At 41.2% G+C, this 25,712-nt stretch overlaps 3 pseudogenes across 1 annotated transcript; 1 reads left to right on the top strand and 2 right to left on the bottom strand.

Annotated features, from left to right (window-relative positions):
* Nucleotides 1-217: 217 nt before the first annotated feature.
* On the bottom strand, nt 218-21,946 carry NXF4 (nuclear RNA export factor 4 (pseudogene); annotated as a pseudogene). The gene is given in 17 exon segments (NR_002216.1): nt 218-490; nt 637-697; nt 3,311-5,004; nt 5,113-5,171; nt 5,287-5,394; nt 5,541-5,596; nt 5,675-5,743; nt 6,146-6,182; nt 7,865-7,974; nt 8,161-8,268; nt 8,389-8,704; nt 8,812-8,892; nt 9,011-9,115; nt 9,227-9,310; nt 9,901-10,033; nt 10,360-10,459; nt 21,726-21,946. The product of NR_002216.1 is annotated as a nuclear RNA export factor 4 (pseudogene) (transcript).
* Nucleotides 21,807-22,433, bottom strand: LOC100420162 (nuclear RNA export factor 5 pseudogene; annotated as a pseudogene).
* FOXN3P1 (forkhead box N3 pseudogene 1) lies at nt 23,681-25,372 on the top strand (annotated as a pseudogene).
* The last annotated feature ends 340 nt before the right edge of the window (nt 25,373-25,712 follow it).

The raw sequence follows: 25,712 nt of genomic DNA, 5'->3' as shown, positions 1-25,712 counted from the left end.
ACAGAGTCCCACTGTCTCTTAAGGCCAAGGCCAATCTCTGGAAGGAGCGTGTGCCCTTTCTCATCAGGATTTATTGACAAATTACCTATGAATGCAAGCCCAATCAATGTATCTCCTGCAGCCAGCCAGGGATGAATAGGGATGCAGGGTCTTTCAGTCCTGGCCCTGCTGGCTCATGGTTGGGGCAGGGGAAGAGCAATCCAGGATATACAATGTACAACATGTAACATCACTCTTTATTATGAAAATAAATGGTGATCATGAGTGGGGCGAATACACAGAACAACTGGTTCTTCAAGTGGTTATGTTACCCGGCCTGCAAGTTAACTTTGGCTTTCCGGTGAGCCAGGCTGCCAACCCCAGTCCTGGGCACGGCCTTAGGCTGGTAAAAAGAGGAAACAAAGAGGATGTGAATGAAGACAAAGAAGACATCGAAGGGCTCCTTTTAGGGGATTTGCTTGAAGGCCTCCACTGAGATCTTGCCTTCGGTCTAGAGGAAGTAAAGAAAAGGAGTTGGGACGTCCAAAGAGCCAGATGCCCTGGGTTCCATACCCAGACCACCTGGCCTACAATTTTCTGGCCTTTCTGAAAGACAGGAAACATCCACATTTTACCCACTTGATTCCCAGATCTCACCTGGAGAATAGTGAAAACCTGGTCAGCTTTGGTGTAGTTCTACTCACTGTCCTGAAGGCACCTGGGGTGGGAGAAGAACAGGTGATTTCCAACACGCTGACTATGCAATGCCACCCCTTAATCTATGCTACTTTTTGCTGGGACCCATGTACCAATATGAGCGCTATTGTAACGATGACTAAAGGCCTAGGGAAAACCAAAATGCCTATCGCTGACATTCATGCCCACTAGAATACAAAGTAGGAAAATAGGGTTGTTCAAATGAACAAGAGCTTAATATATATTGACGAAAAAAGATGTTCAAGAAATAACAAATAGAAATTCAAAACTAAAAATTATCCACTAATTTTAAAATTGTGGTGTAAGACAGGATTCACCATTTTAAGGTGTACAATTCAGTGATTTTTCTGGTATATTTACAAAATTGTGCAACCATTACAATTTTATCTACCCAAAACATTTCCACCACCTTAAAAAAATACTCCTTACCTGTTAGCAGTCACTCTTCATTCCCCTTTTTGCCCAGACCCTAGTTACCATTAATCTGTTATCTGTCTCTATGGATTTGCCTATTTGGGGCATTTTATATAAACAAACTCATATAATATGTAGTCTTTTGTGATTGGCTGTTTTCACTTAGCATAATATTTTCAAGGGTCATCCATGTTATAACATGTATCACAACTTAATTCTATTTTATTGCCAAGTAATATTTCATTATATAGACATATCACATTTGATTTATCTTCATAAATGGATGAATATTTGGATTGTTTCCACTTTTTGACTATTACGAATAATGCTGCAATAAACACTCATTTTCAAGTTTTTGTGTGAACATAAGTTTTCATCACTCTTTGTGTAATCGCTGTGTCATATAGTAATTCCATATTTACCATTTTGAAGAACTGCCAAACTATTTTCCACAGTAGCTGCATCATTTTCCATTCTTACCAGCAATGTATGAGGGTTCCAATTTATCCATAGCTTTGTCAACATTAAAAAATTATTTTTAATTGACATATAATAATTGTACATATTTATGGGGTACATAATGATGTTTCGATACATGCAATGTACAGTGAGCAGATGAATGTAACTAGCATATCCATCATCTTAAATATTTATCTTTGTGTTGGGAACATTTAATATCCTCCTTCTAGCTATTTGAAACTACATATTATTGTTAGCTATAGTCATCCCACAATGCTGTAAAACACTAGAACTTATTCCTCCTATGTAGCTGTAATTTTGTATCTTTTAACACAGCTCTCCCTATTGCTTTCCTCCTATCAACACTTGTTATTTCGATCTCAAAAAATGGTAGCCATCCTGCTGTGTGTGAAGTGATACCTCAGTGTGGTTTACATTTTAATTGGGTTATTTTCATTTTTATGGTTGAGTTCCAAGAGTTCTTTATATATTCTGAATACAAGTCCCTTATCAGATGTATAATAATGCACATATTTTCTCTGATTCTTGGGTTGTCTTTTTACTTCATTGATAGTACCTTTTAATGCAAAACAAGTTTTAAATTTTGAAGAAATCCACTTTATCTAATTTTGTGTGTGTATGTGTGTTTTGTTATATATCAGAAACCACTGTCTAATTCAAGGTCACAAAGATTCACTCTTTTGTTTCCTTCTAAGATTTTTATAGTTTTAGCTCTAACTTTTAGGCCTTGGGCTATTTTGATTTATTATTGTATATGGCATATGATGGGGTACAAATTCATTGTTTGTGAGTGGATATCCAGTTCTGCCTGGGCCAGTTGTTGAAAAGGCTATTCTTTCTTTACCCACTGGCTTTTTTTCTTGGCGCTCTGGTAGAAAAGCTATTGACCATAAAGGTAAGGATTTTGGTTTATTTTGGACTCTCACTTTATTACATTGATCTATATGTCTATTCTTAGGTCTGTATCACTCAGTATGGACTGATTACTGTAGCTTTGTAGTAAGACTGCAGTAACTTTGTAGTGGGTCCTCCAACTTTGTTCTTTTTCAAAATTATTTTTTATTCTGCATTCATTGTATTTTCATTTAAATGTTAGGGTTAACCTCTTAATTTCTACAAAGAAGCCAGCTGGGATTTTGATATGGATTGCATTTGCATTGAATCTATATACAAATTTGGGGAGTATTGCCATTTTAACAATATTAAGTCTTCCAATCCAGGGACATGGGATGTCATTCCATTTATTTAGGTCTTCCTTAATTTCTTTCTATAATGTACTGCAGATTTCAAAGTAAATGTTTTGGATTTTTCTTTGTCATTAAATTTGTTCCTGTGTTATTTGTATGCTTTTGTACATGGAATTGTTTTCTTAATTTTATTTTCTTATTGTTCATTACAGGTATATAGTAATACAATTGGTTTTTGTACATTGATTTTGTATCCTGAAACAAGGCAGAACTTATTTATTAATTTTAACGTGTTTTTAAGTGGTTTCCATAGGATTTTATATATACAAGATCATGTCATGTGATCTGAACGCTATATTGTTTAAAAATTAATTTCTTTATCACAATCAATTAATATATATACTTTATGAGGCCACTCATTTTTGGAAGCACCACATCTAAATAGTTATTTTTACAAATTAACTGAGAGTTTCCATTTTTCACTCCCCACTCTTCCCAGCTCACATCTATCCTGAAAGACTCCCAGCACTCACTTCTGAGACTGCTCAAGTTTCATCCCAGACTGGGTGGAGACAGTCTCCACCATTTCCTGCTGCTTCTGGGAGAGGGTAGGCAAGGAGCTGGAGGAGGGTGCAGGCACTGGGATGGAGAAGGCACTCTGGGTCTCCTTCGTGCTGGCATTCCTCACAATCAGCTTGTCATTCACAATATACAGACTGAAGGAAAGACAAGCTCTCAGACAACTGGAAAAATGGACAACCCCACACTTTCAACAATGATCCTGCTTCCACTGCCACTGAGGAACCAGATTCCTTCCAAGCCCCTGCTCTGCCCACCTTTCGGATTCCTTGGCTGGTAGGCTTTACCCCTGCTGCAGAGTCCACCTTTGGAGAGATTGCCTACCAGTTTCCTTAGATTTGTAGATTTAACCCCAATGCATTTACACTTTACAAAAGAAGTAGACATCCCATTTTCAGAAAAGGACTGTTTCACAGAGAAATCTTACAACTGGACAAAAAGATACACAGCTAATTAGTAAGTATTGTGGCCAAAAAGAGAATCTGGTATTCTCATAATCTAGACCTCTCCTTGGATCTACCAGTTGGCTTTCTATGGTACTGAGAACATCCCGAGGACTGCACCACCACATTACCACACCATTGGCTCCAGGACAGGATGGGTGCTCCCACCCACAGCACAGCACTTACTTGGAATTGCCGACAGAAGTCAAGATGAAGGTTCGGGTGAAGGCAAGAACAGAACCTGGAGACTCTCTTTCCACTTTAGAAACAACAAACAATGATACCTCCTTACAGTTGCACATGCTTTACACATTCATACAGGGTTCTCCAGTCAGGGAGATAATCTTTTGGCACCCTGAAGGGAGCCAGGCTGGGACAACTTTTCAGTGAGAGTCAGGAGGGAGTTTCAGGGACTGAGAGGGCAAAAATAGGAACAAGCGGCACCCAGGGATAGAACCCCCTAACATGTGTCAGGTCTCTTGACAAACATGAGTTCGCTTGATTCATTTTACACAGTCACCCAAGAGATGAGCTTACCAACCCCATTTTGCAAATGAGGAAACTGAGGGGTTAGGTAACAGGACAATGTCCCAAGTTCGCAAAGTAACAACCTGGGATGAGAGCCATCAAACTCTACAGGCTGTGTCCCTAACGCCTGAGTGGTGCAGGTGCAGACAGGCATGGATGTAGGTCAGGAAGTAATGATGTTTGGGAACAAAATTGGGGGAGAGGAAGAACACAAAGGGAAGGGAACAAAAAGGAAAGAACACAAAGATAACAGAAAGTTGCCAGGAGAGGAAGAACACAAACGGAGAGGAAGAATGCAAGGGAAGGGGAGAAGAGCAACTTGGGAAGCTGAGAGAGTTCTTGGAGTAAGCCCAGCCTGGGGAAGGGAGTAATGAGTGATCTGGAGAGAAGAATCTATAGACACTCACCTTCCTTAAATACTCCATTGACAGAAAAGACGAGCATCCTTTCCTGAAAGGGAAGAAGAAAAAACTAGAGCCTTCATGATCCTCCTACCCACCTACCTACTTCCTACCTACTTCAGCTCTCTGGGCCTGACTGAGGGAGGAAGCAGGTGCTCACCGTTTGGATGCACAAGTCTACCACATAGGAGTTAAGGTCATGCTGAGTTCTGGGCAATACACTGAGGGAGTCCACAATCTCACGTTTTGTGTGCTTCAGCAGCTGAATCCTCAGGCCTGTGTGAGAAAGAGAAGCATTGAGGGCTGCCACACCCTGTACCCTGTACCCTATTATTGACTCTCCACCCCATTTCCCATGCTGATCTTCACCCATCACACACTCACAAGGGTCCTTGATATTCTTTATATTCCTGCTATCCTTGAAGTATTTTTCCAAGCTGCTCCTAGGAGAAGAAGAGGAACAGGAGTGGGTGGTCCAGCTAGTGCAGACATTTCCAGGAACTGGCCTTTGCTGGGGACCACATGGCCCCAGACCAGAGTCAGAGCCGTGATACTCACGGTTCTGGGTCCTCAGGGTTGAGGGTAATGGTCAGGGAGAAGCAGGCCTTGTCATGGTAAACACTGAGGAGACCCGTTCGATCTTCAGAGTCATAGATCAAGTAATACCTGTGAAAGAGCAGTGGGGAAAGGCTATCTCTGTGGCCTGGGCCCCAAAGGAGACTTGAAGACTTCCTAAATCCATGAATAGACATTTGCTTGGGTGGCCTGTCTTGTCTCAGCCTTCCACAGCCTCAGGATTCTGGGGTACTTACTGAAGCAGGAACTGAAGCACCAGACTCTTTATGGTCTCAGATCCTTTATAGCTTTCCTGGAATCAAAAGACATCTTGAAACTATGTGGTTTAAAAAACGTCCCTTACAGTATCTGAAATCTGGTCCCTCCTTACCTTACAAGGTTTTATTATCTCAGGGGCTTCAATGCCAATTATAATTGGAGATGCTAACTCCTGGCCATCCTGAGAAAGGAAAGAGGCAGTCAGCAGTGCATACCAGGGAGGTAGAGCTGGATGAGTAAGGAGATGAACAGGCCTGGAGGGAAAAAGGGTCAGAGGTGAGGCATGAAATGGCCCCCTCAAAATTCTATCAGCAAGACAGCAGATGGAGTCTTCAACAGTGGGTCTTGGAAGCATCTATTATTAGATGCAACTTTTGTGTGAATTAGTGAGTGTGGGTGCGTGTGTGTGTTTATGGACATTTTATTCCAGGGAGAATATTCTTGTCTTTTTCAGGAATCTATGCCTCTAAAATGGATGAGGGTTGGATACAAACATGTAATCCAGGCAAGAGCCAAAGGACTTGAGGGCAGGCATGGAGGTCATGTACTTGAGTAAGAGACAATGATGACAGTAAATACTTACCAGGCATAACAACTTGGGGAAATATTCCCGGATGATACTGTCCATAACAAAAAATAGAATGAAGTGATTGACAATTCAGGGTTGCACAGCCTCTCTCCCTCTCCCTCCCCCTGCCCCTCCCTCTCCCCCTCTCACTCTCCTCCCTCTCCTTCCTCCTGGTTAGCTTCCACCTAGATTGCCCCGACTCTCTTCTCCAGTGCCACAAGAAGCAGCATTGGGAGCTCCAGGGTTTCTTCCCCCTCCCTCCCTCCCCTTTGTCCAAATCCCCACGGAAGGCTATGCAGGGAGCAGGAAATGGAGTGGGAGCCCAGGGCTCTGCTACCCCACTGGCTGTCCGTCAATCTGCCTGGCCTGCCCCTGGCCAAGACCAGGTCAGGTCTTAGGGATGCTGAGGATGCTGGGATAGGTAGGTGAGTGAGGCTGGGCTCAGGAGGCAGGAAGGGGAAGGCAGGGTGATGACAACAGAAATGGGGTGAAGGTAGGGGAGGGAGAGACGGGTGAGACATAGGAGAGGAGACGCAAGGGAGAAACAGGATGCAAAGCAAAGGGAAGGGAAAGATGCTCTACTGTGGAGGTGGAGTTCAGGGAGGTATAGAGGAGAAAAGGGCTCCCCTGCTGCAGCCCTTTCCCTCATCGCTCCCGGTTGTCCCTGGGGACTGAGGCAGGAAAGGAAAACATGCACCTGTTGGGCTGGGGCCCACTGGATGCAGCTGGAGCCTTCCTCACCTGTGTGAGCTCAGTCTGAGCTGGGCATGGGAAACAGAGCAGCCACGGGGACAGGAGACCTTCTCCCGGGAGGAGTGAAGAGTCAGGCCCCAGCTCAGCATGGGGTTCAGAGTCTGGGGACCCCCTCTCCAGACCACTGCATTCTCTTCTGATGGTCCCTGACTCCTGTGCCCCTCTGTGCTGACGCCTTGACCGAGGAATGCTACCCATCTTGGGCTACCCAGGGCTCCTCTGAGGGCCCAGGCAGGACGATGTGAGGTGGGGAAGGAGGGAAGGTGGGGCAGTGCCCTGAGAGGCCTGTCCTTCTGTCTCCTCAACCTCCTCTGCCCTCTGCCTTCCACTCCCGCCTCAGGAACGTGGCCCGCTTCTGGCCCCTTGACGTAGGAAACCCAGGTTTCTCCCCAAGGAGGGCCCAGCTCCTGGCATTGGGCCAGAGGAAGAGATGGCATGACAGCAGCCACCCGGGGCCCCAGCCCTCAGTATGGGGCAGGGAAGCCCCTATGCCAGCCCAGGACAGGTGGGGGGACCTTTTTGGAGCAAGAGAAGGAGAACCCCTCTCGGGACAGGGGAGGGAAGCCCCATCTCAGCATGGAGGCAGGAAGGCCTGTCTCAGCATGAGGTCCCGGACTAAAGGACTCTTCTCGGTTCAGGGCACCAGCATCTGAATACTGCTGGTCCTGGGGAGGTGGGGAGCCCCACTTCCTGGAGCACACTCACAGAGGGCACACTGGAGGAGGCTTGGTGGAGACAGGCGGGAAACACACACCAGAGCAGGTGAAAAGGGGACCATGTCAGAGGAAGGAAAGGAGACCTCTAACCACAGATGAGTGAGTGACAGAGAGACAGGAGAGAGAGAGAGAGAGTAGGAGGGGAGGTCTGTGGTCCTCCCAGAGGACCAAGGCTGCTTCTTCCTGCAGAAGGGCACCTTCAGACACAGCTCAGTCACCCAGGGAGCAAAGGTGCCCAGGAAGGGTGACAGGGTTTGCCACTGACCTTACATAGGCGGACTGGTCAGAGAAGGTGCTGCACAATGAGTTCCCTTCCAGCCATAGCTCTTCGAGCTTCAACCCTTTCACCTTGCCCAACTCCCAAGCCGACTTCAGCTAAGAAAGATGGGGAGGAAACTGGAGAAGGAGGGCCAGGGAAAGAGAAACACCCGGGACCCTGGGTCCCGAATTCCCCCAGTCCTCACAGTCACCCACAGGTACCTCTGCCTGCTTGTTGCCATTATTCTGATATGTACTGCCATCCACCCTCCATCCAAAGTTGATCTGGTTCCCCCTTCTCACCTTATTTTTGGAGAGATTCAGGGTCTTGACTTTGGGAGCCTTCTCTATAATGTCAGGCAGGCCATCCAGGTGGTACAGTTTGTTGTCGCACAAGTTCAAAGATAATAGCTATCAGGTAAGAACAGTTAGAGTGACGGATACTATCTCGAGCCTTGGAAACAAATCTGCCTTTCACTCCATTTCTTCCACCCCTCTAATTAAATACTAGCACTGGGCCTAAGGCCTCACCTCAGGGAAATTCCTTTCAATGATCTTCAGAGTGGCAGCCATGTAGTTTCTTTGATTCAGGATTATATCAATATGATGTTTCACCAAGTCTCCAGGAAGCCGAGAGAAGGGCATCAGAAGGCTGTAAGGGGCCTGACTGGACCAGCACCAGCACCAACCCTCCCAAAGTTGCCGTCCATATAAGTCTCCTTTCCAGGCAGACTGCTCTGCCCCTACTTGCCCTAGAATTGCTGCTGTCAGCCATACCTGGGTCAAAGCGGAGCCTCTGGAGATCAAGAGCTTGCTGGGAGACATCATATCATTTGTTCAGGGTCAGCTGCAGAGACAGATGAAGAGAGCAGCTCTGAGGCTCTGGTGGTGGTGGTAGTGGTGACAGGGAAATATAGGGGTGGGGGAAGAAGTGGTGCCTTGAGTCTGTATTACCTTTAGCTATGCCATCTCTTTTGGTTTCAACATTTTCTGGATAGACTGGGGTTTAGTAGAAAGATTGACAAAAACAAATACCTGCAAGAAGGTGAGGCAAGTTGAGCACGAGGACCTCAATCTCAAAAAAGACAATGACTAGACCCTGGCCTGTCCTCTTTCCCAGAGACTGTATATAGGGAATGTTGTTGACATATACCTTTTGGTTTTCCTCATCATGAATCTTGCAGTTGACTTTCTTTAATGCACAGGCAGCACTAGCATCCTGAATAAAGAAATGGGCCCGATTTTTGTTGTAGTGGAACTACAGGGAGTAAAGGCAAGAGCAATAGTGTCAGAGGTCAGTGGCCCCTGCTGAGTCAGGCGTCTCCCCCTCCCTTGTGCCTACTCATCTGGCTTCACCATCTTCTCTTACAGCGACTGGAGTGAAGGGGACACTGCAATGGCTCTGGATTGAATTCACTATCCAACTCTTATCATACTTTATCCCATAAGGAATCTAATGGTGAAAAGAAGGGATAGGATAGAAGAGAGACAACATGGAATTAAGTCTGGAAAATAACCCAACTAAGTGTTTTATTCTAACCTTCTAATGGAGCTTTAAAAGACTTCTAAGATAGGGACCATTAACATGATTTCAACTTTTTTTTTTTTTTTTTTTTTTTGCCAGACATGGGTTTCCTAGTTGTCCTTTCTCTCTATTCCAAATATAACTCTCAGATAATAAAATTCAGATGTTCTAAATGATCTTTTTTTTAAGGTGCTAGGAGATTCTACCTATTGAAGACCCAGCCTGCACCTCTGACAAGAACTCCAGAAACTCAACACTGCTACACTCAGCTTGAGCCATGAGGCATCTTGTGGAGAGCTGCCACATCTTCTTGGCAGTAGTTTCCACCTTTGCGTTTAGACAGACTCTTGGGTCCTCTTGCAGTCAGCCTGTTCCCTTTACATTGTTTTTCTGAACCTGTGCTTAGATGTTAACTTCCCTGTCCTCAGAAAAATATCTAGTATTTCTACGTGTGATTAACACAACTCTCCCTGACCCACCTTTCCTGCACATTTTTTGCATTTTCTCAGGACACTCACTGTGACCTTGAACCAGGTCCCTGGGTCTCCATTCTGTGTGTTCTTCTCCACTTCTCTCTCTGGAGGAATTCTATCTTGGTATTCACTATGGCATTTCACACTCCTACTATCGGGTTGTAAGGTAGAGGGGTTGCTGTAGGGAAATGGATAAAAAGATATGTCTATAAATGTATAGAAATGCATAGAAATGTGACACAGTTTTTCATACACCCTCAACTCACTGAAAACCAGGTCTGCAATTAGGATTTCTCAGCCATTACTTCACTTCTAGCATTCTTCAGTTTTTCAGGGAGAGGAAAAAAAGACTACAGAGAGTGAAAGAATTACAAAGTCCCAGGGGCTGCTATGTGCAAACCAGCCTGCCTGGTCACTTACTTTCTTATTTGGGGATCCTCGTGGACATCCCCCACCTCCACATTTTCATCTACCTTCTGAAGATGGGGAGGTGGGAGCTCATACCCATCATGTTCATCATGAAGGTTCTCCTTTCCAAAATTCCCCTGGGAAGAATCTCCACCTTTATTTTCTCCTTGAGGAGAGCTGCTACCATCACTGTGTTCTGAAATTTGGAACAAAAATACAAGTTTGAAGACACATCAGTGGTCATATACCATGTACCATTTCTTGGCCTAACACCATAGTAAGGCAAGCAAAGTGCCAACCCGCCCTAATAGAGCAGTCACACAAGCCCCAGAAAGCAAACTCCTCTACCCGTCCAGATAGGAGAGCCTTTTCTCACAGATGACATAGTTAGGGAAGAGATCTTAAAGGAGGAGGTAACTGTGTGGAACCATTTGGAAAATGGAGCAGGATTTATAGAGAACAGAAGTGTGAATGTTCATGGATTAGACTGCACATCAACCATACCCCAGGAAGGATCCAAATGTTGCCTTCTCTTATGCCACTATAGTCTAACAACCTCACCAAAACCTGATAGGCAACCTCTCTCACACCTCCCAAATGCAATCAGCCACCAAATTGATTTTATTAACAATCAGCAAGCTGTACTGTCTTTTCTAGTGCAAGCTTTCATGACAGGATGGATTGATGCATCATCCTGCTGAACTGTCTCTCTGCCTCCAGCCTTGCCCTCAACAATACTCTTTTGGAAATACAGAGTGAGCTTTCTTTTTGCTAAGCCTGAAATGCCTTTCAGTTGAGAAGGCAATGCTTCTAACCGCTACTCTTCTATAACAAGGAGCTGAACAATGATCAGAAATGACAGGTGTCAACTACAATTTCCAAGTGTTTAGAGATTTTTCTGTGGTCAGAGAGAATACTCTGTATGACTTTCATTCTTTTAAATTTATTGAGGTTTTTTGATGGCCCAGGACATGGTCTATGTCTGTGAACATGGTCTATCATGAACGTTATAAGATATGTGGGAAAATAGTGTACTCTGCTGTTGTTGGGTAAAATGTTCTATATATGTCATGTAGATCTGTATTGATTATACTACTGTATTATACTATCATACTATTATACTGATTATACTATTCAGATCTTCTATAGCCTTGTAGATTTTCTATATAGTAATTCTATCAATTGCTAAGAGTGGGATGTTGAAGGCCCCAATGACAACTTTGGACTTGGCTATTTCAGCTCCGTCAGTTTTTCTTTCACGTATTTTGAGCCTCTGCTGTTTGGGTGTGTATACAGGTAGGATCATTCTGTCTTCCTGGTGGATTGATCCTTTTATCATTATGTAATATTCTTTTTGTTTCTATTGGTTTTCTTTGCTAGCAAGTCTACTTTATCAAATAATTGTGGACTCAGGAATGCTTATAAAGTGTTTCAGTTATATTTCACACTGTATTTACTCCTAGAAATTTCCTTGTTCACCCTCTGTATTCCCCACCAACATGTTCAATTCACCATGTGACAAGATTTGGAAGTTTAATTTACATCTAAAAGATAGTATCAATTCTCTTTCCCATAAGCATATTCACAAAGGATATTTTATTTTTATCACATTCAACTGAAACAATGGTAATACTAGTGGTTTTGGAGGTGGGGATTAAGGAAATTAGACTATCCGAAGCCAGCTTCCTTTTAGCATCTAAATTTAAGGTTCTCTAGGTTTGTATTTTATTTTATATAAAATATATATTTATATAATATATAAAAATATATATTTATATAATATATAAAAATATATATTATATAATATATAAATATATATTTATATAATATATAAAAATATATTTATAAATATATATTATATAAAAATATATTTATAAATATATATTATATAAAAACATATATTTATAAAATATATATTATATAAAAATATATATTTATAAATATATATTATATAAAAATATATATTTATAAATATATATTATATAAAAATATATATTTATAAATATATATTATATAAAAATATATATTTATAAATATATATTATATAAAAATATATATTTATAAATATATATTATATAAAAATATATATTTATAAAATATAAATATATTTATAAAATATATATTATATAAAAATATATTTATATAAAAATATATATTATATAAAATATATATTATATAATATATATTATATAAAATATATATTATATAATATATATTATATAAAAATATATATTATATAATATATATTATATAAAAATATATATTATATAAATTATATATTATATAAAATATATATTTATATAATATATATTTATATAAAAATATATATTTTATAAAATATATAATATATAAATATATATTTATAAAAATATATATTTTTATAAATATATATTTATATAAAAATATATATTTTTTGAGACAGGGTCTCACACTGTCACCTAGGCTGCAGTGCAGAGGCATGATCTTGGCTCACTACAACCTTCACCCCCTGGGCTCCACTGAATCCTCCCACCTCAGCCTCCCAAGTAGCTGAGACCACACCCCATGCCAGGCTATTTTTTTAAAATTTTTGGTAGACATGGGGTCTCACTATGTTGCCCAGGCTGGTTTCGAACTCCTGAGCTCAAGAAATTTACCTGCCTCGGTCTCCCAAATTGCTGGGATTACAGACATGAGCCACAGTGCCTGTCCATAGGTTTGTATTTTATACATATTGTATATTAATTACTCCATGTTACCTCAGGACATACTTGTGAGTAAACGTTCTATTCACTCCTGATCACTTTACAATATACTTATTATGACCAGGCCTCAGATGAACTCCTCTGGAAAGTCATTGCTTTCACCATGTGACCCATGGTCAAGAGAGTCTTGTTACTCATAACCTTTGGGACTTTCCCTGTATGGCACTGGAAGTGAAATTAAATATGGGTTAGAGCATTTGATCCAGAAATGTTCAGTCCCCAAAATTTGATGATAGCTTGGAGTGCTCTCTTTTTCTCATACTTCACATCCAACTGATCAGGAAAGTCTCTTGACTCTACCTTTAAAATATATCCAGAGTCTGGCCCCTTTTCATTCCCTCCATTGCTACTACCCTGGCAAGGTCACCAACATCTATCTCCTGGATTACATTGCCTTCCAACTTGTCCCTCTGCTTTTACACTTGCTCCCTCACCATGCATTTTCATCATAGCAGGGAGAGTGATTTTCTTGAAGCATAAGTCAAATCTTCTCATTCCTCTGCTCAAAAATCTTATAACAAGGGTTTGAATCCCATCAATATGTTAAAAAGCTGTGAGTTCATAATGATACTCAAAAACAACAACCAAGAAGAACCTTATTGATGACATTTGTAGAATGCCAGGAAACCAACTTATATTTATAAAAATTTGTAAATAAAAGGGAAGAATCAAATATTTATTCTGCCTTCCCTGTGCAAGCTGTACATAAAGATAGCCAAATTGTTGATGAAATTTTATTTTTATAGGAATATTCTAGCTAATATATGAAGAAGGCAAGATAGAATTTGACTATCATCATTCAAAAACTTCTAATTAAATAAAGAATTTATACAATGATCATTAATGCCTTGCAAAAATCACAAAAAGGGAAACAACCAGATATAAGGTACTTTGTTATGGGTACCACCTATGAAATATTCTTGCCAAACATTAAACCTGAATCTGATCAGGCCTCAGCAGCAATTCAGGGCTTCATCATTGTGGATAGGCAATGAACCAAATGCATGACAAAAGATCCAGTTTCTTTAACAAATAATTTGAGAGAGAGGGAGAAAGACAGAGAGACTGAGAGAAACAGAGAGGTGATAAGTGAATATGTTTGCTGCTGTATGCTTGTGTGCTATTGAATATGTTATATATACACAGATATATTTTCAAACTGCAATCATATTGTAAAAATATCTGTAACCTACTATTTCAGTTAACATTTTATATCATTGCATGTTCAGAAATGATATTTAATTGATTTTTATTATCTATCAAATTAATATGCTTTCCTTTAAAGACACTGTGGAAATTAAAGCTAAGGTCACCTGTTTACCAGAGCAAGAACTGATGGCTGAATCTCATTGAGCTGGAAGCTCAGGAAAGAATAAATATGATTAGTCCAAAATTTACCTTTTTCATATTTTCTAAAATACCTAAATAACAATTTCTGACTTTAATGTAATTTATACAATAGATTATTATTATAGTTAAAATTTGTCACAGGTCGGGCGCGGTAGCTCACGCCTGTAATCCCAGCATTTTAGGAGGCCGAGGCGGGTGGATCACCTGAGGTCGGGAGTTCAAGAGCAGTCTGGCCAACATGGAGAAACCCCGTCTCTACTAAAAATACAAAATTAGACTGGCGTGGTGGCCCATGGGTGTAATCCCAGCTACACGGGAGGCTAAGGCAGGAGAATCGCTTGAACCCAGGAGGCGGAGGTTGTGGTGAGCCAAGATCACAGCTTGGGCAACAAGAGCGAAACTCCATCTCAAAAAAAAAAAAAAAAAATCTGCCACAAACTTTAATCTACTAATAAAATTTCAAATTTTAATAAATCTTTCCAAATTTTTGCTACTATAAACAATGCTGCGAAGAATAGGATTATATATACATTCTATTATTTGTTTACAGTTTTTCCTGCAATAATTCTACAAGTGGATTACTTTGGTCAAAACATGAATGCTTTCAAATTTAAGAGATTTTTAGAAGTGGCATTTAAAATATACATTTATACTTATTTGCATGTTAATCAAGAGTGAGTGAATGAGCTTACCAGTTCACCAACCATTTTGAAAATTTGTATATGTTGATAAAACAATTGCCCTTTTTAAAGTTTATATTTTGAAAAACATTCCCTCAATGTATATATTCATAATTAGTCAGGAGGACGGTGGGAAGAGAAGGATCCAGAATTTATTATCAGGGGAGTGGCTGAGATATCAGAGAGTAGTTGAAGGCTGAAAGAGACCTGACAGTCTCATAAACAAGAGGCAAACACTCAAGGATGGAAGCACAAGATGAGGATGAGCAATGGCAATACAATAAAATGAGAAAAACTTCTGATATACCGAATCCATGCTAGCCATATATGTCCATCTGGAAAACTTCATGGAAAGCATATTACATGTGTTTTCCCATTCCTGTGACATTATCTTCCAAACATTAGAGAGAAGACACAGTAAAGAAGATAATAATGAGGATAATAAGGACTATACCAAACTCAGCATTTGAAAAAATAAATTTAGAGTTTTTCTTCCAGCAAAGAGAGACTAGTTACATTGCACCAAACTTCCAACTGAGAACAACTAGAAAAGTGTGGAAACTAATTTAAAATAAAAGGTTGTTTAAAGGCATCAAAAAGCTAATGATACAATAAGATGTTATGGGGGAAATACCAGGGGAAAAAAGGAAACTCAGAATGTAATCCCAATCCTTGGGGCTGATTTTTTTCTAGCAGCAGTTGGTGATGCCTAAGGATATAGGTACGATGCTAAAATACTGTGAATTTGTGCCAAATTCCCAGAGTTATAGATCTAAGAGCATAAAATTTGAAGTTGGGTATGTTAAGGAGAGGGGATCTTGGCAAACCACTCAGGCTTAGATAGGAACCTCTAAGAGCTACATCAGGTAAATATGGGTAAACTGGAAATAGACCAGCCCTCCAAGGGACTGAAGTCCAAATTAATCATCTCAATCATCAATGGGATTAAAGAGATTTGGGGTTTTCCTTGCAACGTAGCAAGTTGACAGAAAAAAATCTTCCCTGGAGCAAGACAACTTCATTCTAAGACTGAAATAAATAAATCTACAATTTATTATATATAGTTCTCTGAAAAAAAATCTAGAAGGAGATAAAATGACATGATTAAAAACCAAGCAAACAAACAAAAAAAGGACAATAAAAAACATAAAATCCAGATAATCAGATAATGGCATTATTGTCAAGAATATAAAAGATTAAGCATTTCAGCCAAGAATTGGAAAATATATTAAAATGAATAGAATTTCTAGAATTCATAAATGCAATAACTGTAATTAAGAACAACTTTGTGATTAGCAGCATAAAATAACAGATATACTTTTGTGGTCTTTACCCTTCACATTACAATGTACATTCTTGCCTTATCACAGTCTAATGCATATTAGTTCTTTTACATCTCCTTGAACAACAAGGAGGTTTGGAAAGAAGGATCTGAAGAAAATATCCAGAATGAAGTATGAAGACACAAAATGATGAAGAATACAAAAAGACACGGGGCAAAATTAAAGGAGATACAGTAAATACACCAAGCATGTTTAATTGGAGTTCTAGAAGAAAGAAAAGAAAGTAGTGCAAAAGCAGTATTTCACGGTAGAATTTTTGAGCAGTTTCAAAAAGTAACAAAAGATACCAAGTCACAGATGCAAGAAGCAATGTATATTTCAAGTCCAGCGGGGCATGAGGAAAACCAAACCCAGGTCCATCATAGTAAAGCTGTTGAAATCCAAAGAAAAAAGCAAATATTCAAAGTAAAATAAAAACAATGGGTTATCTTCAAATGAGCAAAAATAAGACTGGATCGATATATAATTTTTAAACAGAAATAACGTAGCTTGAAGAAAGTAATGTTATATACCCAGAGTGCTAAAGTATAATAGCTGTAGGCCTAGAATTGTGTGTTTATTTAACTTCCATTTTTTGAAAGATACAAAAATGGAAGTTAAATAAACATCTGTGATATTGCAAAACATATATTAGATCTTCAACCCTGTTTTCTGGCATACAGCTCCTAAAATTTTTATAAACTCCAAAGTGAAGTCTTTTTGTGTGCTAGGCTGGCAGCCCCTAGGTAGCTTCGGGATGGGAGACGGTCACTGGAAAGAGCAAGGCAGTATTAAAGCGCTGGCACTTTCAAGGGGCTGAAGGGTAAGTCAGTCACCAATGTCCAATGGATTAATCAGTCATGCATACATAAAAAGCCTACATAAAAAGTCAAAGGACAGAGTTCAGAGAGCTTCTGGATGGATGAACACATGAAAGTTCCTGGAGGGTGGCACATCTGGAGAGGGCATAGAAGCCCCACATCCCTTCCCTGTACCTTGCCCCATACATTTATTTGTCTGTATTATTTGCAATATTCTTTATAATAAGCTGGTAAATGTAAGTGCTTCCCTGAGTTCTGTGAGCCATTCTAGCAAATTAATCACATTCAAAAAGAGGGTCGTAGGAACTCCAAGTTGAAGGCCATCAGTCAGAAGCTCTGGAGCCCCAGACTTCCGACAGATGGTGTCTGAAGGAGGGGGCCAGTCTTGGGAACTGAGCCCCCAACCTGTGGGATCTGATGCTATCTCCAGGTAACCTAATTTAATTTTGACACTACCAAAATTAAATTAGAGGACACACAGCAGGTGTTTACTATAAAACTGATTGCTTGCTTGTTGGTGGGGAAAACTCCCCCACACATTTGGTCACAGAAGTCTTCTGTGCTGATGGTTGTTGTGGAGTGAGAAAATAGAAAAAAGCACTTTAAGTGATTTTTTTTTCACACTTGTGACTTTTTTTTTTTTTTGAGACAAGTCTCACTCTGTCGCTGCCCAGGCTGGAGTGCAGTGACACGGTGTTGGCTCACTGCAACCTCTGCCTCCTGGGCTCAAGCAATATCCCACCTTAGCCTCTAGAGTAGCTGGGACTACAGGCATGCACCACCACGCCTGGCTAATTTTTGTTTGTCGAGACGGGGTTTTGCCATGTTTTCCAGGCTACTTGTGACTTTTTTTTTGTTGTTGTTGAGGTGGAGTCTCGCTCTTGTTGCCCAGGCTGGAATGAAATGGCACGATCTTGGCTCACTGCAACCTCTGCCTTCTGGGTTTAAGTGACTCTTCTGCCTCAGCCTCCTGAGTAGCTGGGATTACAGGCGCGTGCCACCACGCCCAGCTAATTTTTGTATTTTTAGTAGAGACAAAGTTTCACCATGTTGGCGAGGCTGATCTCGAACTCCTGACCTCAAGTGATCCGCCTGTCTTGGCCTCCCAAAGTTCTGGGATTACAAGCATGAGCCACTGTGCCCGGCCCTACTTGTGACATTTTAATGCAAACAAAAGCTAAGCAAATTTGTCACCAGTCAACTCAAAACTAAAGATTCATCCTCAGGCCAAAGAAATACGATCCCAGATTGAGGCAAGTAAATACAAGAAGGAATGAAGAATAATTACATTGGCAAATACGTAGGAAAATCTAAATGAATATTGATTATATAATACAGTGATAATGTCTTTAAAGAATTTAAATATGTGTTCTCATTGTTCAGCTCTCACTTATAAGTGACAACATGTGGTGTTTGGTTTTCTGTTCCTGCATTAGTTTGTTGAGGGAGGGGAACAACACACACTGGGGCCTGTTGGAGGGGTGGGGTCGGGGAGGCAGAGCATTGGGAAAAATAGCAGATGCATGCTGGGCTTAATACCTAGGTGATGGGTTGATCTGTGCAGCAAACCACCATGGCACATGTTTAACTATGTAACAAACCTGCACACCCTGCACATGTAGCCCAGAACTTGATTAAAAATTAAAAATAATTTTAAAAAGGAATTTAAATATATAAATATATATAGTTAAAAATGCACACCAATATATTGGGAGGGGCATTAAAAGAGTTAAAATATTGGAAGGTACCTGTGTTGTCCAAGGATATGTAAAAGAACTAATGTACATTAGAGGCAAGAATGGATGTTGTAATCCAAAAGGTAGACTACAAAAATGACAGAAGAATGTCACATTATCAATCCAAATGAGGCAAAAATTAATAATTTAAAAATAATAATTTTAAATTTTACAAAGGAAAAGAGAAAATTAGGATAGGAAAATAGATGTAAAGCAAACAGAAAAATGTTATATTTAAGCCAAATTTATGTGGAATTATGTTATATGTAATGTACTGAAGGTTTCAAATAAAAAAGCAGAGATCATAAGACTCAATTAAAAATTAATTCAATCAAATGCTCCTTAATAGGAACATATGTAAAACAAAACACAAGACATTTGAAAAAAAAATGGCAAAAAATATACCATTAAAACACTGACGAAATGAAAGCTGGTATAACTATTCATAAGAGAAAAAATATACTTTCAGTAAAATATTACTAGAAGAAGGGATATTTTGTAATGACAAATGGTTTAATTCAACATAAATATGTTAATAAAACAAATTTGTATGTACTTTTTAGCACAAAGCCAAAATATACATGACAATAAATTGATGGAACTAAATGGAGAAAAAAATGCACAGTAAAAACTGACAGAAGTAAATGAAGAAATGGACAAATCCACATTCTCAGTAGGAAACTTAAACATACTTCACTGAATGACAAATAAAACAGCCACAAAATCCATTAGGTGAAGAAGATTTAAAAAACATGACTAACAAAATTTACTTAACAGAGGCCGGGCGCGGTGGCTCACGCCTGTAATCCCAGCACTTTGGGAGGCCGAGGCGGGCGGATCACGAGGTCAGGAGATCGAGACCATCCTGACTAACACGGTGAAACCCCATCTCTACTAAAAATACAAAAAAAAAAAAATTAGCCTGGCATGGTGGCGGGCGCCTGTAGTCCCAGCTACTAGGGAGGCTGAGGCAGGAGAATGGCATGAACCCGGGAGGCGGAGCTTGCAGTGAGCCGAGATTGCGCCACTGCAATCCAGCCTGGGCGACAGAGCAAGACTCCATCTCAAAAAACAAACAAAGAAACAAACAAAATTTACTTAACAGAAAGAACACTGCATATGACAGCACATGCAACATTTCAGAACAGATTATATGCTGACCTATAAAACAAGCCTCAAAAACGCTATAGTGGTAATACAATCTACTTTGAATGGCTGCTGAAAATTTGAGGGTATTGGTGGGTTATCTGCCCCTCCTCCACCCCTAGTATAAATCTCAAAAATGTTAATTTCCAATATCCCTCACCTCAGGTGACACTCCTCACTCCCCAAATCCTGGACCAGAGAGGATCACAGGACTCAGACCTTTCCCCTAAACCAGGGGAACATCTCGGCTCAGCCATTTCCATAACCACAGGAGGGGAAGTTTTCCATGTGGAGCCACTATGGATATGTCAGGACCCACTAGGGCCAAGACCTCAAGAGAGTGGGAAACAGTCAGCCTGGGCTTTTGCTACTTCCCATTTAAAGGAGAGTCCGCTAGGTGTCATGTGGGTTGGAATGGAGGTGGGGAGGGGGCTCAGTCCCTCCTGCCCTGTAGGGACCTAAAGCCAAGGCTTCATGCTGACCAACTCACCCATGGTGTGTCCTTAAGGCAGTGACCTTTCACCAGTGTCCACACAGGGCTCTCTTAAGGGGAATCTGTGTGGTCTAGAGCTCGGGGTTTGCAGAAGTTTGGGGAGGGCAGCTGAGGAAGGTGAGAGCAAGTCCAAAGCAACTTTGTTAGTGGACAAGATGGAGTCCTTACAGGAAGTCCCTTCTTCAAAGGCATAGAGAGGAGACCTCTGGGGGCTAGAGGAGACTGAATTTACTTTTCTTACTGCCCCCTAAGTTCGCTACCAGCCTAACCCCCAGGGAGCCGTTTCCAAGGGAAATACTCTTGCAGAATTGGTTAGCTACAATCAGGGCCTCAGACCCAGGTACTTGTTACAAACAGAGAGCTCAGCTATTCAGTCTTTGTCCAATGCATTACATTGTATTCCTTTATGGAAGAGGAGAAAACTTATTTGCAGAATCACCAGCTACTTGCTGTCCCTGAAGTTTGCCTAATTATAAAATATTCAACACTATAGAATGTATATTTTGAAAATAAAGTCATTCTGCACTTTCTATCAATATGATCACCTCACGATGACCTAAAGATAGTCACTGTAATCTATTTACCAATCTGGCACACACTTTCTAGACATGCAAGGCAGATGTTTACCTACCTTAAAATATTTGTAAGTAACAAACATACATATATATATACTATACATATATATTCTTTTAAGAATTTGAAGTCACATAATTTTCTGCAAACTGATTTTTTCACATATTGTGACATCTTTTAATTCTCATTTCTTTACCAAATGTGGTTTGGATGCAGATGTTTATTATAGAATCATTTTGCTTTTCAGGGAAATTAACTGTTGATATTTGTTACAGTTTCTCCTGGTAAGCAAAAGTCCTTTAGCACAGGGATATTAACACAAAGTCTGCAATATTGTTGCAAATATGTTCTTCCAGCTTTTCCGATTTTAATATTTTTTTCTTTTGGCAATATAGAAAGTATTTCTAAACTTTTATTAAATTTATGACTTAGCAATAAGACAGGTAATTCTTTGGGAGTAGAGTGGGAACGGAAGAACACAGGGTGAATAGGAAGGGAACAAAAGGGGTCAGGGAAGCTGGGAGAGTTCTGAGAGGGAGCCCAGCCAGGGGGAAGGAGCAGTGGGGGATTTGGGGAGGGGACTCTACAGACACTCACCTTCTTTCAACACACCGTAGACAGAAAAGTAGAGCATCCATTTCTGAAAGGGAAGAGCTCCAGTGCTCAGGATCCCCCTTAACCTCCTACCCACCTCTGGCTCTCAGGGCCTGTCCAAGGGAGTAAGCAGGTGCTTGCCTTCTGGTAACACATGTCCACCAGGAAGGAGCTGAGGTCATGCTGAGTTTTGGACAACACACTGAGGGAGTCCACAATGTCATGTTTTGTGTGCTTCAGCAGCTGCCCCCACAGGTCTGTAGAGGAGAGGAGAAGCAAGGTTTTTTTTGGGGGGGGGGTGCTGCCACACTCTGGCCCTTGGCCCCTGTGATTGCTCCCATCACACCCCCTTACCTTGCCCAGTCTTCCCCATCACAAGCTTGAGAGTTTTTATATTTCTGCTATCCTTGAAGTACTTGCACAAGCTGCTCCTAGGAGAAAAAGAAGAGCAGCAGTGGGTGGTCTGGCCAGTGAGGGCATTTCCAGGAGCTGGCCTGTGTCTGCTGGGGATCCTATTTCTTGTTATCATCCTGATGTGCACTATAATTTACCCTCAACCCAAATTTGATCTGGCCCTTTCTTGTCACCTCATTTTTGGAGAGGTTCAGGATCTTGACTTTCGGGGCCTTCTTTATAATGTTAGACAGGTCATCCAGCCAGCAAACTTTGTTGTTGTGCAAATTCAAAGACAATAGCTTCTGGGGAAGAAGAGTTAGATAATAACAGAGTGATCGTTACTATTTAGGACCTCAACAACAGAACTCTTTCCTTTTTTTTGCATGTCATTGATGTGCTCATTTCCTTGCCCCCATTCTTTAATTGTTTTAAGAAGATTGGGAATGTCAACAAAAATAATGCCTACTGATTTCTCTGGAGGCTAATTAGGAAAGGTGTTCAGAAGAATAAATAGATGTTAATCTGTTGGATAGAGCGCTAGAGTAAGAAACAGACCCATTTCTCTTTACAGCACCTTAAGTAGGCCACATCCCTTATCCTGTATTCCACTGGTACATAGGATGAGCAACACACATTACTACATGTGTGTGTTTGTGTGTAGTAATGAAGATTAAGAATATTGCTGCCATTGCTGAGTTAAGGAAGTAATCATGATTGCTTTCTTCTTTGTATTTTGTTTTGTAAATTAAATAGTTTATAATATTTGAATTTCACAATATACATTTGTTTGAAAAATATTCACCACTTACATTTTACACAATTTACAGACCTCTGAACTTGCAGCATCATTTCTAGGAATTCATCATATGAGAGATTCTTGTTGCATGGATTTTTAAAATGTTATTATGCACTATTTAAATTATAATAAAATTTATTATGAACTATTTAACATATACCAAATAATGTCAGAATATTTTTAGTTATTCCAGATCTAAAGCTTTCCTTTGATGTCTGTTGTTTTGTTAACAGACATTTAATGGGCACCTCTCTGTGTTAGGCTATAATGCTTAGTGAGAGATGCAAAGATGAGTAAGATTTGATGATTTCTACTCTCAGTGGAAATTACAAAAGTATGTATAAGGCAAATACATAAGCTTATAATGATCTTGTAGAAAAACTGCATTTGTTTTGCATTTTCATAAGCAGCATGAGTCTAATATTGATGAAGAATTTTGGAGTCACCCTGAAATGTGTAAAACAGTTTCACGAACTATTAATCCTAAACCTTTAGTGAATTCGAAACCTAACTTCTGGCCCGGGCGGGCGCCGGGCACAGGAGCCGGGGTTCCGGCAGCAGCTCGGCTGGGAGACTGAGCGACCCAGCGGCTGGGCCACAGGTGAGTCCAGCGTCGCCGCATCCCCGGAATGCGGCCGTGAGAAGCAACGCGGGGCCAGGTGATAGAAGCCCCTAGAAGACTAGCATTCTCGTGATTATGGAGGCCCTTCTGTCCTTCTGTGACGGAAGCAATGCGGACCTCGGTTTCCTGGACCCATTCTGACTCAGGAGCCTTCATGTATATGGGTCCCGCCATGCCTCCCAGTAAGATGCCAGAAAGCTCAGGAGTTAGTGTCTCCAGTGGACTGAGTCAGTGTTACTGGGGCAGTGGTTTCTCCAAGCCCTTTAGGAAGATGATGACCTCGACTTTTCTCTGCCTGACATCCTATTGAAAGAGGAGACCATGGAAGATGAAGAGCTGACCAACCTGAGCTGGCTGCATGAGAGCAAGAACTTGCTGAAGAGCTTTGGGGAGTCGATCCTCGAGTGTCAGCCCGGTCCAGGGCCTGGACGATGACAGCCACCGTCCCCACCCACTCTGATATGCCCTAGGATGCCAGGCAGAACCCCAACTGCAATCCCCCCTTACTCCTTTAGCTGCCTCATATTTATGGCCATCGAGGACTCTCCAACCAAGCGCCTGCCTGTGAAAGATATTTACAACTGGATCTTGAAACATTTTCCATATTTTGCAAATGCACCTACTGGGTGGAAATACTCAGTGAGACACAATTTGTCATTGAATAAGGATTTTAAGAAAGTGGACGAAGAGAGGAGTCAGAGTATTGGGAAAGGGTCGTTGTGGTGCATAGACCCAGAGTATAGACAAAATCTAACTCAGGCTTTGAAAAAGACACTTTATCTCCCACACCCACATCCACACGTGTTCAATACACCTCCCACCTGTCCTCAGGCATATCAAAGCACATCAGGTCTACCCGTCTGGCCGGGCAGTACCTTCTTCAAGAGAAATGGAGCCCTTCTCCAAGATCCTGACATTGATGCTACCAGGGCCATGGGACTCCCCCTGAAATACAAGCAGGTTTTCCTCCAGGAGTGATACAAAACGGAGCGCGGGTCCTGAGCTGAGAGGACTGTTTCCTGGTGTGCGGCAGCTGCCGATCAGTCCCATTGAGATGACGGCTGCCATGATGTACGGCATCACCAGCTGCCGGATGCGGACTGAGAGCGAGCCATCGTGTGGCTCCCCGGTGGTTAGCGGAGACCCTAAGGAGGATCACAACTGCACCAATGCCAAATCCTCCAACGCCCGGAGCACCTTGCCCACCAGCGACTCCATCCCCTCCTCCTCCTTGGCCGACGACCACTACAAGTTTGCCAGCAAGGAGAGCCAGGAGGGCAATGAGGGCAGCGAGGGGAGCTTCCGGAGCCACGAGAGCCACAGCGACAGGGAAGAGGACGACAGGAAACACAGCCAGAAGGAGCCCAGGGATGCTCTGGGGGACAGCGGGTACGCATCCCAGCACAAGAAACGCCAGGACTTTGCTAAGGCCAGGAAGGTCCCCAGCGACACACTGCCCCTCAAAAAGAGACGCACTGTAAAGCACCGCCCCCGCACCGCCCCCCACCAGGGCGAAGAAGAGGAGATTAAAGAAGCGGCGGGGTCGCTCCTGCACTTAGCAGAGATCCGATCCTGTTTGAATAACATCACCAATCGGACGGCAAAGGGGCAGGAAGAGCAAAACGAAATCACAAAAAAATTAAAAACAAGTCACTGTTTTGTTTTGAACTTAAGGCCATTTGGTTTCAGCATGTCAGGAGATTTCTAATGATTTGTGGCAATATCAGCATTTTTTTTTCTTTTTTCTTGTTTTGTTTTTGGTTTGGTTTCCTTTTTTTTTCCTTTTTTTTTTTAATTTGCCCCCTCTTCTTTGTTTTGGACCCTTAAGAATTTTATTTTTAAAGGAGATTGAAGCCATATAACTCATATTGACACTCAGCTGTTTTACAAAAGCTTTTCATTATCTGAAGACAAAACCGAAAAAGCTAAAATTACCATTGCTTCCTCAAGCTTGTCAGAAACCTGTGGCTGAATCCGCAAGGAGGTCAACGTCAATGCTACTGGAACACACATTCAGCACCTAGAAGGCACGTGTGCAAAGTAATCATCGTTCAGGCCCAACCCTTAGATTTACATGACTGTGTTCTGAGTTCCCCAGCCCCTCTCCTCCTTTTATTAGATGAGATTTAGCACACTCTCAGTTATTTAAACATGCAACATTTCTTGAGTATGTATG

Source organism: Homo sapiens, chromosome X, assembly GCF_000001405.40.
Source record: "Homo sapiens chromosome X, GRCh38.p14 Primary Assembly".
NCBI classification, from domain to species: Eukaryota; Metazoa; Chordata; class Mammalia; order Primates; family Hominidae; genus Homo; species Homo sapiens.
The sequence above is the reverse complement of the archived record's forward strand: the minus strand, read 5'-3'. Positions and strand labels throughout refer to the sequence as shown.